Here is a 14,317-nt window from a genome sequence, read left to right as displayed (position 1 = left end):
CCCAGCCCTTTCAAAGTTCCCTGACAATGTGCAGAGCTCCCTGGCTGTGTGCAGAGCTCGCTGACCGTGTGCAGAGTTCCTGGCTGTGTGCAGAGATCCCTGATGGTGTGCAGAGTTCCTGGCCGTGTGCAGAGCTGGCTGACCATGTGCAGAGCTCCCTGGACGTGTGCAGAGATCCCTGGCCATGTGCAGAGCTCATTGTTGGGGGAAGTCAGGTGATAGAACCCAGAGGCACAAAAACAGGGATGCCCACAGGTCCCTGAGATTCCTTCTTGGGCGGTGTCTGCTGTCCCCAGGGTCCCGTGACCGTGGAAGGCACCATGACCATGTCCATCTTGTGCCAACCTGCTCTGCCCTGGAACATGTTGCCCAGGGCCTGGGTGGACTGTCAGAGCTAGTGAACGATATTTAAGCCTACACAGGGGCAAGGAATCTTCCAGAACTTTCTGTGTTTAGGTGCCACGCAGTCAGCATCCTGCAGGCAAGCCGGACCCTTTCCCACGTAGGAGACTCACAGAATTTTCATCTTCCCCATCACAAGGTAGAAATGGGCTTTTCTGGCTCACTGAGAGGCCTGGATGTTCTACTTAAACCCCAGGAACGTGGAGCTCTAGAGGAGATTAGAAGAGCCAGCTCAATTTCCTGACCCCAGATGGTTTGTTCCATCTGCAGGAAGGGGGTGGCTCCTGCGTACGGGGCCCAGGGCTGAGTCGGCGGCGCGTGCTGCACCTCCCTGGGGTGCCTTCCTGGGCTCTCTCATCCCCCGGCCACTCCTCTGGCTGGCGCTGGAGCCAGGCCTGCTGGGCCCCTTTGTGCCGTCACCCGTCACAGAGCCTCGATTCCCCCAGACATGCTCCCCGCAAATCCTTCCAGACGCTCTAGCCAAGCGGCTGAGGTTGTCAGAAAACCTGGGCACTCCCAGCGTCTGTGGGGCCACCTCCCCTCCCTACCCGCACTGCCCTCCCCTCCTCCGCTGCCCTCCTGGGCAGACGCCCACCCCGGCCCCTGAAGAGGCAGCCACATCCCCCTTTCCTTCCCAGGGCTTATCCTGTTCCCTGTCTTTCCATCCAAGCCCCCACACCAGGTCCCCCGTCCTAAAATGCCGTGAATTCAGTCTGTTCGCTCCATTCGCTCTGCTCCACTGAGGCACCCCTGGGAGAGCAGCTTCCTCTGGAAAAAGTGTCCCCTGCTTCTCAAGTCCTCACCCCACCGTCACCTACTCCGCCTCGGCAGCCTTCAGGGCAGGCCTAGCCCCGGCCACACCCTGGCTTCTGTGGCCGTCTGTGTCCTGCACAGCCCCCGGTCATGTCTGCAGCGAGGCATTCTCCACGTTCTGGGCTCAGAGAATCCCATGCCCCAGCCCCTCCTCAGGTCCAGCCCCATCTGCAGCCTTCCCCCTGCTGCCTGCAGGCGCCCTCCTCTTCCCCCACGGGCTGCGGGCTTCGGGCTGCGGGCTGCGGGCTGCGGGTGGACTGTGGGCTCTGTCTCTCCCTCTCTCTCTCTCTGCCTCTGTCTTTCTCTCTGCCTCCTCTTTTTGTCCCGGGAATTTTATTTTCGCAAAAGCAACATTACACAGTATTAAAGGAAATTTTTAAAGGAGAAAATTTGCTGAAGGCCCAAGGACATGAGTCCAGCAGCGATTTTCCTATTTTCCGTATTTTCTTCTGGCCTTGCCCGATGGTAGCCACATTGATGATGCCAGCTCTGGAGACGGCCTCGCCTCTGTACTGTGTGGTCTGCGTTTTCCACAGAGCTACAGCCTCACACCGACAGCCATGGCCACACTCCTGTGTGGGCACACGGCTCGCGGCCATCTTCCCGGTTTCATCCACGCAGGCTGACATGTTCGTGCTGTTCCTTGTCCTGGAGAAACGTCTCAGAGGTCCCCGGAGGGAGCTGGCAAAGGTGACATCAGCAAGGATTGGGTGTGGGGTAACCTGCCAGGGCCTTTTGGGAGAATAACCTGACATTGCCTGTCATCAGATGGAATGCACGCGACCCTGGCTCAGCAAACTGCAAACAGCCTGGAGTCTGCCTGTGGGGAGCGGTCGAGTGAGTGACAGGTTGGGAGTGGTGGGCATTATTGAGGGAGAAATGCTCAGCCTTGCTGCCATCCCAGAGAGCAGGCTGCACCGCAGCTTGGGGCCCTGAAACCGTGGTGCTCTTTCAGGGAGGGGGGCACCAGCCGACAGCCCAGTGGGGAGGGAGGGACACAGGGCAGCGGGACAAGGTGCCACCTTCTAAACGCTCCTCACTTGGTCCACTGAGCACCTATTTCTTTGTCTTAAAAAGTCCACCGAGAGAGAAGCGCTGTTTCTTTGGATGGGCCTGTCCTAAGGCAGGGTGCATTCCTCCCGAGTGGGTGCCGGCTCCCCGGGTGGCCCCTTACACCCAGCAGGAATCACCACAATCACAGCCCAGGGCACATCTGTCCCGAGCCAGGCCCCACCACACCAGGCATCTCCCAGGATGGTCCGTCAGGGGCTGGGAAGACGGGGCCTCCAACCCGCTGGTGCCTCCCACCCTCACTATCCGTCTCTGTCTCTGTCTCCCGCCCCTCCTCCACCTGACCAGAGGTGTCACCATCCAACACACAGCTCAGGCCCTCCCTCTCTGCCACCCCCCAAACCCCGCTGACCCCTGTCCAGGACTGCCCTTGGCCAGCATGCCCCTGGGTTCCCCCGCTCAGTCCAGGAGGCTCATGCCCCCAGCACCCCTACTACCACCAGCAGGAGGACGCCGCTGAACCCCAGGCCTGGAGCCCCCAGAGAAGCTGACCCACCCCTCACAACCCCGTGGCTCTGGGTAGGGCCTCTGGATGGGGGTGGGGTCCCAGGAGAGGGAGGCTCCCGGCAGGCAGGGCAGGCTAGGCCAGGTGACATGGGACAATTTCCGGGAGAAAATAAGGGGGTACGCTAGGAGCTTCAGGGAGACCGTCCCGGGGCCGGAGGCTGGGGGCCTTGGCTGGGCCTGGTTGTTCTCAGCCAACTTCCCCTTCTCCTGGGCTGGTTCTGAGTGTCAGACTGGGGCACTTGGCATTTGGTGGTGCCCCAGCCTTGCCTCTGCCCCCCCTCCCTTGAGGACCCCACTCCCCGAGCCTGGAAGCGCTTCCTGTGTCTGAGGAGCTGCAAGGGTCTTGGTTCATTCTCGCCTCCTGTACTGACGGCACATCCTCTTGATCTTAGCCAATGACGCCTGAGTGGCTGCTGCCTGCGCCAGAGCTGCAGGGGAGGCTCGGTGCTGGGAAGAATGCACGTTCCAGGGCCCTCTTTCAGCCTCTCTCAAGCCTGAATTTGGGAAGACTGCGGCCAGTAAGGGCAGCCAACAGGGCCGCCCCCGCCCCCCGCCTCACAGCCCCCGACTCCCTGCCTTCTGGGAACTTCAGGTTTCAAATTTTAATTAATTCATTTTTTAAAAATCCACAGGTAAAAATGCTCCATAAAATGTTCCACATGGTTTCCGGCGCGCGTGCGCTCTGTGAAATGGCTCGAGAAGCGATTAGCACGACCATCCCTCACATACTTACATTTTTTTGTGGTGAGAACATTTAAAGCCCACTCTTTCCAGTTCTTAAGTATGCATTAATAGCTGTAATCACCATGTTGTACATCAGAGCTCCAGAACTTACTCATCTTAGAGCTGAAACTTTGTGCTCTCTGGCCGGCGTCTCTGCTGCCCCCTCCAGCCCCTGGTAAACACCCTACCGCTCTGGATTTCATGAGTTCAACTTGAATTTTAGCGTCCACGTGTAAGTGAGAGCACGCAGTATCTGTCTGTCTGTGCCTGGCTTATTTCACTTGGCATAATGTCCTCCACGTTCATCCAGGTTGTTGCAAATGACTGAATCTCATTCTTTTTTGTTTTTTGAGACGGAGTCTTGCTCTGTCACCCAGGCACCATCTCAGCTCACTGCAACCTCCGCCTCCCGGGTTCAAGCGATTCTCCTGACTTAGCCTCTGAGTAGCTGGGATTACAGGCATGTGCCACCACGCCCGGCTGATTTTTGTACCTTTAGTAGAGATGGGGTCTCACCATGTTGGCTGGTCTCGAACTCCTGACCTCAGGTGATCTGCCCGCCTTGGCCTCCCAGAGTGCCGGGGTTACAAGCATGAGCCACCGCGCCTGGCCTGAATCTCATTCATTTCTATGGCTGAGTAGTACTCCGCTGTGTATCTACACTACATATGTAAAATTCACTCATCTGCCATCGGACTCTTCCATATCTTGGCAGTTGTGGGCAGTGCAGCAGTGAACACGGGGGTGCTGATGTCTCCCCGAGGTGCAGAGTCCACTTCCCTTGGGTGCCTCCCCAGCAGAGGGATTGCTGGATCCTAGGACAGTTGTATTTTTAATTTTTTGACGAACTGCCATAGTGTTTTCCATAATGGCTGTACTAATTTACATTTCCACCAACACTGCACCAGGGTTCCTCTTGTCCACATCCTCCCCAACGCTGGCTGGCTTTTGTGTTTTCATAATTGCCCTCCTAACAGGTGTGAGGCAATAGCCCATTTGGTTTTGATTTCCATTTCCCTGATGAGTGCTGATGGGACACTTTTGTCATATGCCTGTTTCCCATTATCCTGTCTTCTTCGGAGAAATCTCTGTGGAGGTCTTTGACCTGCCTTAAAATTGAGTTCCTTATTTTCTTGCTGGTGAGTCCCACATGTATCTGGATGTCCATTCCTTATCAATGTATGACTGGAAACATTTTCTCCTGCCCGGAGGAAATATTTGTTTTCCTCTGCTTGTTTCCTTTGCTGTGCTGAAGCTGTTTAATCTGATGCTGTCTCGCGTGTGTGCGTTTGTGCTGCCTTTGTTTTGATGTCATATTTCCAGGGATTTCTTAAAAGTGCACCTGCACTCACCGTTGATGGGAACGCATGACGGTGCGGCCACTGTGGAAAGCATTAGGGCTGTTTCTCAAAAAATTAAAAATTAAATTCCACTTCTGGGTATATACCTCCCAAAACTGAAAGCAAGGGCACGAAGAGATATTCGTCCATCCCTATTTGTAGCAGCCATATTCACAATCACCAAAGGTGGACACAACACGGTGTCTCCTGACAGATGCATGGTCCATCCACACAAGGGGATATCACTCAATCTTAAAACCAAAGGAAGCTCTGACACCTACTACAACATGGAAAGACCCTGGGGACATACTGCTCAGTGAAGTAAGCCAGTCACAAAGGGACAAGTACTGCATGATTCTACTTACAGGAGGTCCCTAGTCAAGTTCACTGAGCCAGACAGTAGGATGGGGGTTGTCAGAGGCTGGGGAGAGGAAAAAGGGGGAGTTACTGTTTACTGAGTATAGAGTTTCAGGTGTGCAAGATGGAAAGTGTTCTGGAAATGGATGGTGGTGATGAATTCACGTTGTGAATGGGCTCGGTGCCACTGAACTGTACCCTTCAACATGCCAAAGGCAGTGATGGCTGCAGCATGTGGAGTGTCTGGAGCGGCTGCTGCCATCACACCAGCTGCAGCAGGAAGGTGCCGGCAGTGGTGGCAGGAGTGGCTGCAGGAGCAGCAATGGCGGTGATGAGATCCCCGTGCCCCACGTCCCCGAGGCAGCCGACTGCACCACCCCCACCCTCACACAGCCGGGCAGGACCCACTCCCAGGCCCAGGGCCTCCACCACGGCCTCAACCTCACTCCCCACTGTGTCTCGGGAACCCCTGAGCACTTGGTGGAAGGCACAGCGGGACTTGCGGGGCCGGCCCCGAGTGTGTCGGGTTCATTTGTGCAAAGGTGGTTGAGACCACCTCGCCACCTGCACTTTGCCCACTGCCACTGCAGGGAAGACACGGAGAGGAGGCAGGCAGTCCCCACTCCTGGGACCCCCCACCCCACCGAGCCGGCTGCCCCTGGGAGCCACCGCAGTGGGGCTGGGCCAAGTCACCCACTGGCAGGAAAGCAGCATGGTTGGACATGGAGGGATGGGCAGAGAGGGGTCCTGAGGCACAGCTGGCCCCCAGGGTGGTGCCACACTCCACAGAGTTGGCCAGAGCTCCCCAGGCACAACTGCGGCCACCCAAACCGCAGCTGCAACCTGGTCACCCCGTGCTCTGGGAGCTGGGAGCAGGCAAGAGCTCCACCCTCCCGGGCATAGCTACGGCCTCCCAAGCCATGGCTGTGGACCCAGGCATCCCTGCACTCTTGGGAGCCCGGGAAGGCCCCCCTGTCCCCACAGGCCCAGAAGTGCTTCCCACTGTCTGACTTCCCACTGTCGGCACCAGCCCTGATCATGGAGGAAAGCTGAGGCTGAGCCTGGGCACTGTTGCAGCCTGGCCAGTTGTGCGTGCATTTGGGGCAGCGCTCACATGCCAGCCCCCTGCCACCTCAGCCCCCTCCAGATTTTGGGCGCCAATGAGCATGTGAGGGTGGTCGAGGGAGATGCTGAGGGCAGCTTGGTGCTGAGCTGCAGGTGCCCCTTGGCACAAACAGCCTGGGTGCAGTGAACAGCAGCAGACAAGCTCCCTGGTGGAAAGGGGTGAGTCCCTGGTGAAGACCCACCTTTAAGCAAGGGAGGGCCTGAAACCTGGGGGCTGGGCTGCTGGTTCCATGGACCAGACTGGGAACTTGTGGTGCTTTTTCCAGGCCCGTCCATGGCCACCCATGGACCAATCAGCATGCACTTCCTCCTCTTTGAGGCCCATAAAAAGTCCCAGACTCAGCCAGACCAGAAAAGATGATGGGACAACCAGCTGCAGAGAGGACCTGCCCACGGCGGGTCTCCTCTGAGCTGTGCTAACACTCAGTAAGGCTCCTCCTCATCTTGCTCACCCTCTACTTGTCTGCATACCTCATTCTTCCTGGTCGCAGGACAGGAACTTGAGACCCACCAAATGGCGGGGCTGAAAGAGCCGTAACACAAAACACCCCTGCTCAGCACGTTGAGGGTGACAAGAAGGAGAGAAGAGAGAAGGAGAGAAGAGCTGTGGCCTTCCGGGGAGCCCAGACCTAGGCGCTCCCGGAGCCAGGGCTGTGACACCCTCTTTAGGGCTCTGCAGTTCCTGGTAGCTCCAAGCTTCCAGGCACCACTGCGTTCCCTGGTGTCAGCCATGGAAGCTGATTATGGTCCGCCTGGTCCAGCTGCAGCCTCACAGGGAGCCGGTGCCCATGCTGGTGTCTGGAGCTGCCCGCCCCGCCACAGCTGGCATGGCTGGCTGTGAACAGTGGCCGGATCCCACGCTCACTCACACACCCCTTGCCACTCCATGCCCGGCTCACCCTCAGCAGGTGTGGGATCCAGGCTGGTAGCATGAGCCGAGTGCAGCCTGCCTGGCTGAGTGGATGGAACAAGCCTAGCAGGCCCCAGCAAAACTCGGGCAAAGTCACCAGCAGTCACAGAGGCTTCTAGCTGGCAAAGCGACACCCCAGGATCCCGTAACAGTAGGAACTTTTACGTGATGTGTTTTTAAAAAACATTTTATAGTTTTAAAAAATACGCCTGAAGACAGGGCTCCTCCACACTGCTGGTGGGATGCAGAAGGTGCTGTGTGCGGAAGTGTGGCAGCTTCCTCCCAAGTGGAACAGGCACCTGCTGTAGGATCCAGCAAACCGGCTCAAAGAAAAGTAAGACCTCACATCCACACAAAGCCTGAACAGAAATGTGTACAGAGGGGTTATTCGGAACTGCCCCAAACTGGAAACAACCACACGCCCTTTCCCCGGGCACGGATGGAGAAACAGGAGCATCCACACAACACAGCAAGACCCTGTTGCTCTGTCACTCACTTTGCTTACACATTTATTTGTTTATTTAGAGATGGAGTCTCACTGTGTCACCCAGGCTGGACTGCAGTGATGTGATCTCGGCTCTCTGCAACCTCTGCCTCTCGGGTTCAAGTGATTCTCCTGCCTCAGGCTCCCAAGTAGCTGGGACTACAGGCATGCACCACCATGCCTGGCTAATTTTTGTATTTTTAGTAGAGACGGGGTTTCACCATATTGGTCAGGCTGGTCTCAAACTCCTGACCTCAGGTAACACACCTGCCTCAGCCTCCCAAAGTGCTGGGATTACAGGCGTGAGCCACCGTACCTGGCCTTACACCTTAATTTAAATACCCTGTATATATATATAGCTTACTTTATATAATACCCTGTTTTTATATATATAAATAATATCCTATTTATATATATATACACACACATATAAGTATATTTGTGTGTGTGTGTGTATATACCTTACTTTAAAAATGATTTTTAAAAACTGCCTGCAATGGGCACTTGCTTTGTGTGGCACAGGCTGGAGCAGTGTGTGCAGCTGCTGAGATCACAGGCTTGGGATTAGCAGACTTGGATGGGATTATTGACTTTGAGAGATACCTGCTGTGTGACCTTGGGCAAGTGTATTAATTTCTCTGAGCCTCAGGATTTTCATCTTTAAAATGAAGTTAATAAGAACATCAAGCTCATAGGGCTGTTGGGAGCACCGATGCCACGACACATAGAAAGGGTTCTGCCTGGCAGGCTTGGGGCCAGGTAACCGTAGTGATCCATTCACTCCGCAAAGTGCATCAAGCCCTGCAGGGGGCTGGGTCTGGGCTCCAGGAATGTGGCTCTCCCAGGGCACTCGGGGAAGATGGATCAGAAAGATAAACATGCAAATAAACAAGCTGACTTTAAGTAGTGATGAGACATACAGGGAAATCTCACAGACCTACCTGGCCGGGGTGGGGGGTGGGTAGCACAGGCCTCTCCTAGGGGATGGCATTTAGGCAAAGACCCCAGTCATCAGTGGATGACTGGCCAAAGTATGCCCTAGGAGGGGGCAGCAAGAGCAGAGGCCCTGAAGGCAGGCACAGAGGCCACTGGAGTGGCCAGAACAGAGCAAGGAAGGGCTGAGGGGAGTTCCTGATCTCAGGGGCTACTGCGGATTTCGCTGGGGGGTCAAGTGGCCAAGAGGTTGTCTGTGCCTGGATCTTGGCCCTGGCCGGATGGCAGGTTTTACGCTTGGCTGAGTGAGGCAGGGGCCACTTCCTGGGCCTGGCTGACGCAGCTCCTAGTGGCAAATTATTCACAGCTGCATCAGATCAGGGAAATGGAAAAACCCCAAGAGTGCTAATAAACACTGTCATCATAACCCTCATTATTTATATCTCTAAATGGTCTGAGAGGTGTTAACTCGTGCAGTGGTTTGGATATGTCCCCCCATACGCTTGTGCTGGAAACTTAGGCCATGAGGGCAGAGCGAATGGATTAATGCCATTACCTTGGGAGTGGGTTCCTTATAAAAGGACGAGTTCAGCCTCCTCCTGCTTTCTCTCTCCTGCCTTCTCTTCTGACTTCCCCCATGGGGGGATGCAGCAAGAGGGCCCTTGCCAGACGCCAACCCTCAATCTTAGATTTTCCAGCCTCCAGAAGTGTGAGTCAATGCACTTCTGTTCTTTATAAATTATCCAGTCTGTGGTATTCTGTTATAGCAGCACAAAACAAATGTGGACAATTCCCTTTGAACAGGCCTCATTCCCAGTGATAGAGGCACTGTCTGGGGGTGTTCCTGCCTCCTGGGTCTTGGCTTGCCACTTCTAGGGGGTGAGCTTGGAGTATCAAAGCCTGTTTACACTGAGCCAAGACCCTCTCTTGCTTTGTAGGCAAACTACGATGATGATAGTGATGATGCTGGCAATGATGGTGATGGTATTGGTGGTGGTGATGGTTGTGATGATGATGGCTACCATGAGAATGGTGGTAGTGGTGGTGATGGTGATGATTGTGTTGAGGATGATGGTGGTAATGATGGTGGTGATGGTTGTAATGAGGGTGGTGGTGGTGGTATTGATGGTGGTGGTGATGGTTGAGATGATGGTGGTGGTGATGATGGTTGTGTTGAGGATGATGATGGGATTGGTGATGATGGTGATGGTTGAGATGATGGTGGTGGTGATGATGGTTGTGTTGAGGATGATGATGGGATTGGTGATGATGGTGATGGTTGAGATGATGGTGGTGGTGATGATGGTTGTGATGAGGGTGATGATGATGGGGTTGGTGATGGTGGTGATGGTTGAGATGATGATGGTTGTGGTGGTGGTGATGGTTGTCATGAGGATGGTGGTGGTGGTGATGATCATGGTGATGGTAATAGTTGAAATGATGAGGTTGGTGGTGGTAATGATGATGGTGGTAGTGATGGTGATAAGAGTTATGGTGATGATGACAATGACAATGATGTATGAAGGTCTTCCTCATGCCAGCCCTCCTCCCAACACATGGTAAAGAGCTCGAACTTTATCTAAAGAGCAACAGAGAACCGCAGAAATTTTAACTGCGTATGACATAATTTGATGTGTGTTCTTAGGAGATCTTGTGGCATGGAGAGGGACTGATGGAGACAGGAGACCAGGTAAGAGGTGATGGGCAGGAGGGGTGGCAAGGAGGCCACAGACTTGAGAAAAGTTTTGGAGCTAGGGCTCAGGACTCACTCTTAGGCCAGAGGTGGCAGACGAGGGAAAGAGGCCATTCTCGAGGTGAGGAGGACAGGTGGGGCAGGGAGAGCCAACTGGGGAAAAGCCGAAAAATTTCTGAGTTAGACAGGAAAACTCTGAGACACCTGCTGGGTGCCAGACGTGATAGTGGATCAGCAGCTGGACATGGAACTCTGGGTTTTGGGGGCAATTAGGCTTAGAGGTGAGAAATCCAGGGTCATCTGTGGAGGTGAGGTGGCATTTACCTAGACCAAGGCTGGTGCCCTCTGGGTGAGGCTGCTGGTGAAAGTGACCGTGGGCTGGAAGAGCAGGAGGGGGAGGGGGTGTTGGCACATTGCTTGTACCCTGGGGCTGCCAGCAGTGCCCAGGGAGCTTGAGGAGAGGCTATGACCTCTCCCTGGTGCCCCTCTGCCTGGGAGGTCAGTCCAGAGGCCAACACATGCTCAACGTCAGGAGGAAGCCCCTGGGTCCTGCCAACCCCACAGGCAGCCTGGGAGGCTGCACCCCGGGTGGTCCAGTGGATGAGGCAAGAGTGTGGGGGCGCCTCCTGCCCTGGGTTGGGACTGCGGTGGGGAAGGCCAGCTCGGTCTGGGAGCAGGCACAGCAGGCGGGAGCAGTGGCACCGCAGGGCAGGACTGTTCAGGAAGACGCCTGCCGGGTCACACCTCGAGGGCACCCGTCCCTGCCCTTCCTCTGGTTTCCCCCCTCAGAGCCTCAGCTTCCTAGCTCTGAAGGCAGCGGGACTGAACTGTGACCCAGAACCCCAGTAAGTAAGACACATATGAGCAGAACCACTGTGGTACACAACCCTGCCGGCCCCTTCCCCAGGCCCACAGACCCGCCCCAGGCACTGCAGGGCCAGTCTGGAATCCCTAAGGACCTGCACACCCAGTGTGAGGCCTTGGCGGGTCCTGAGGTGTCTGGAGCTGGAGGGAAGGTGCTGCGAAGGGAAAGGCACCCAGAGGGGGCTCCGGGGACAGAATGGGCTGCCTTGCAATTCACAGTGCCACCCACTCCATTGTCCGTCGGCTTGTCGCTCTGAACCAAGCAGCCCCTATGGGACCCTAGTGCGGCTCCACTGTGCCCTTGCTCATGCCTCGTTCCAGCTGAGATGCCCACGAGGGGCCGCCGCGCCTGCGGGACATGGGGTCCGGCCAAGTCAATGCTCCACCTGCCTCCAGAGGGTGAGACTTCCTGGGGATCCCGAGGCTGCTCCCATTTCATGGAGCCATGTTTTTCTTGTCTCTTCCGACGTCCCACATCACAACCCGTGTCCAGGCCCAGATGCCCCCGGCAGTGTGCGCACGTGCCCTGCTGAGGCTGGGGGCCGCTCCTCTCTCCGCGGCTTGGCATGGCTCTCCCGGGCTGACCACACCCTGGGCAGGGCCGGGCCCAGTGGTCGCCTGGCATGGCAGCTCACTCAGCCTGCAGCATGGTGCCCTGGCACAGCAGCTCAGCCTACAGCACGGTGCCCGCCACCCTCCATGGCCCCCTTGGCTGTGTCTTGTCTTGGTTCACGCAGCATTATCTTACAAGCTAAGGAATGAAAGGGTTGGAATTTCGCGGGGCTTGGTGGTGTGATGTGACTGTGATGATGAAGGAACATGCTCCTTGGCCACACGGAGGACACGGGAGAGCCACCTCTGGCCTGCGCCCACCCGCCCATCCTCGTGCAATGGCCCTGCTTGACTCAGCATTCGGAGGCCCGGGCCGCGTCGCTGCAGCCTCGTGCCAGTTCTTCCTCCACATCCCAGAGCATCACTGTGAACGGAAAAACCGAGCTCATCCCTGGGCCTTGGATTCACGTGTTTTTTTGCCGTCATTTGTGGGGAGGGAAAGCAAAGGCTGAGGTCTCTGTGTGCCTGAACCCGGAGCCCGTGCCTGGGCACACGCTCACCTGCCTGGTCCGGTCACTGCAGGCTCCGTCCAGGCCGACTCAGGTGACTCTCGGGAGCACAGGCTGCTGTTGTTCCCAGGACCCTGGCACTCCTTACAAAGACTTACTGAGTGGACAGCCTTGTTCCTCCCTCGAGTGGGGCGGACGTGCCCTTCCTCTCTGAGTAGACTAGGGGTTTGCTCTGTCCTTTTAAGCACCGAGTTCCGGCACAGTCTGCTCTTTCGGTAAAACTGGCAGAAGTGTGGTTGGATGGTCGTTTCCCTTTTTTGATGATGACATCTTTGGATAATAAAGAGCTTCTCCTAAAAATATCCAAATACAGAAGTACCTGGAAGCTGCTTAGGAGACAGGCTGGGCTCCTGGTCCTTCTGGGCCTCATCCTGGCTCTGAGGTGTGTCCATCAACACAGACAGATCAGGCCCCACAGCAGCCAGGGCCCTGGTCCCGCGTCCCTGCACGGGCCCCCGCGGGCACCACCTGGAGGCTGCAGGTGTCGCTGCCAGGGCCAGGGTGCACTGCACACTGGGTCCCAGGGGTCTCCACTAGAGGTGACACGCGGCCCTTCCAGCCACTTTCCATGGGCCCAAGCAGCCATGCGTGCCCCCCTACCCCTGGGGGAAGTCAAATCCTGCCCCTTGCTCTCAAGGAAGGGCAGGAATATAGGATCAATGTGGGAGGCTTTTGTCTTGGTTTGGGTCTGGTTTCATTTCAGGGGAAGCCACACTCCCTCTCATCTCCACAGTGGCTGGAGTCCTGCGACCTCAGGGCCGAGAGGAGACCCGGGCGGGATCATCACAGCTTCCCAGGTGCTCCTGCCAAGGTCAGCGGGGAGCGGGTGGCCTCCTGCAGCCCCTGCCCCTCTGGCGGGGATCCTGAGTCCTTGGCCTGTTGTGCTGCCTGCCCTGGAACGTTCTGTCCCTTGCAGATGCTGGTGGGGCGTGGCCAGACACACCCCTGATCTGCAGGTGGGAGGGGCCCCGACCACTGCTCCCCACAGCCCCGCCCCTGAGGCTGAGTGAAGTCATGCTCTGGGCGGTTGTGACTTCTGGTCCGGTAGAAACATTTCTGGTTGAGCTATCAGTGGCTGAAGGTCCTTCCTGCCCTGGAGAGGAAAATTTCAACCCTGGAAAATTACCAGGGCAGGCGGCCAGGGAAGTTTCTGCCCTGGGGCGGTGGTTTGAGAGTGAAGTTTCCTGGGCTGGTCTCAGCCTGCAGGGGAAGCACTGGCTCCCAGGAACTTTGACAAGCCCAACTCCCCTGGTTCTCTGGAGGCCAGGAAAGCTGTCCAAGGCTTTCCCGACGTGGGCAGGAACCAGTCATTGTCACAGGGAAGCATGGCCTTTGGGACAGGTGCAGGCTGTTAGCTGTGTGTTCAGAAGGCACGTAGACTCCTTCCAGCAAGCGTAGCCTCACCCACCTGACTCACGCCTTCATGGCGCCAGCTCCCCTCCCCCAGCCCCTTTAGGGAAACTTTTCAGAGCACCCGGAAGCCAGGCAAATACCAAGGGAGGGTTAAATACCCATTAAATCATTAAAGCAGAAAACACATCTCCTCCTTCGTCCCACCCCTCCTCTTCACGCACACCCCCTCTCTGTGGGTGGAGGGCACCTGACCCCCTCCGGGTCTCTCTGCCGCTGCTGGGACTCCCAGGCCTGTGCCACACGTGCCAGCACACACCTCAGGCTCCACGGGCCCTGGGAAGGCTCTGAAGTGCTCCAGAGGAGACACAATTAGGAAGCCATGCCCAGCTCCGCTCTGAGTGAACCACAGAAAACTTCACTGATGGAACCAAAACCACCCGGGCAGCCCTTTGGCTGTGGAGGACGGTGTGAACGTCCGCGGCCTCGGAGGCTGTGGAGGGAGGACGGTGTGTACGTCCGTGGCCTCGGAGGTCCCAGCTCAACCAGGTCAGGCTGCTCTTCCCGCCTGTTGGGACTGATGGGCCTGCCATAGGCCCTGGAGCCAAGGCCACCTCCGAGGCT

The 14,317-nt window shown here is 56.6% G+C and overlaps 1 long non-coding RNA gene across 1 annotated transcript, besides 5 other annotated features; it reads left to right on the top strand.

The window, feature by feature from the left end:
* Positions 898-1,397: an enhancer, noted in NCBI's record as "H3K4me1 hESC enhancer chr20:61267349-61267848 (GRCh37/hg19 assembly coordinates)". NCBI's record gives its function as "activates a minimal SCP1, AML or CMV promoter by ChIP-STARR-seq in naive H9 embryonic stem cells {active_cell/tissue: H9 hESC(naive)}" and the evidence as "EXISTENCE:reporter gene assay evidence [ECO:0000049][PMID:30033119]".
* Positions 1,398-1,899: an enhancer, noted in NCBI's record as "H3K4me1 hESC enhancer chr20:61266847-61267348 (GRCh37/hg19 assembly coordinates)". NCBI's record gives its function as "activates a minimal SCP1, AML or CMV promoter by ChIP-STARR-seq in naive H9 embryonic stem cells {active_cell/tissue: H9 hESC(naive)}" and the evidence as "EXISTENCE:reporter gene assay evidence [ECO:0000049][PMID:30033119]".
* LOC124904948 (uncharacterized) lies at positions 1,480-4,948 on the top strand. Its single transcript, XR_007067710.1, has 2 exons — positions 1,480-2,052; positions 3,186-4,948. It is a non-coding gene; the product is annotated as an uncharacterized LOC124904948 (long non-coding RNA).
* Positions 12,555-12,604: an enhancer, noted in NCBI's record as "active region_18209". NCBI's record gives its function as "activates an Ori minimal core promoter by ATAC-STARR-seq in GM12878 lymphoblastoid cells {active_cell/tissue: GM12878}" and the evidence as "EXISTENCE:reporter gene assay evidence [ECO:0000049][PMID:35858748]".
* Positions 12,735-12,824: a silencer, noted in NCBI's record as "silent region_13115". NCBI's record gives its function as "represses an Ori minimal core promoter by ATAC-STARR-seq in GM12878 lymphoblastoid cells {active_cell/tissue: GM12878}" and the evidence as "EXISTENCE:reporter gene assay evidence [ECO:0000049][PMID:35858748]".
* Positions 12,865-13,224: an enhancer, noted in NCBI's record as "active region_18208". NCBI's record gives its function as "activates an Ori minimal core promoter by ATAC-STARR-seq in GM12878 lymphoblastoid cells {active_cell/tissue: GM12878}" and the evidence as "EXISTENCE:reporter gene assay evidence [ECO:0000049][PMID:35858748]".

This window comes from Homo sapiens, chromosome 20, assembly GCF_000001405.40.
Source record: "Homo sapiens chromosome 20, GRCh38.p14 Primary Assembly".
Taxonomy (NCBI): Eukaryota; Metazoa; Chordata; class Mammalia; order Primates; family Hominidae; genus Homo; species Homo sapiens.
Note: the sequence above shows the minus strand (reverse complement) of the source record. Positions and strands in the feature narration are given on the sequence as shown.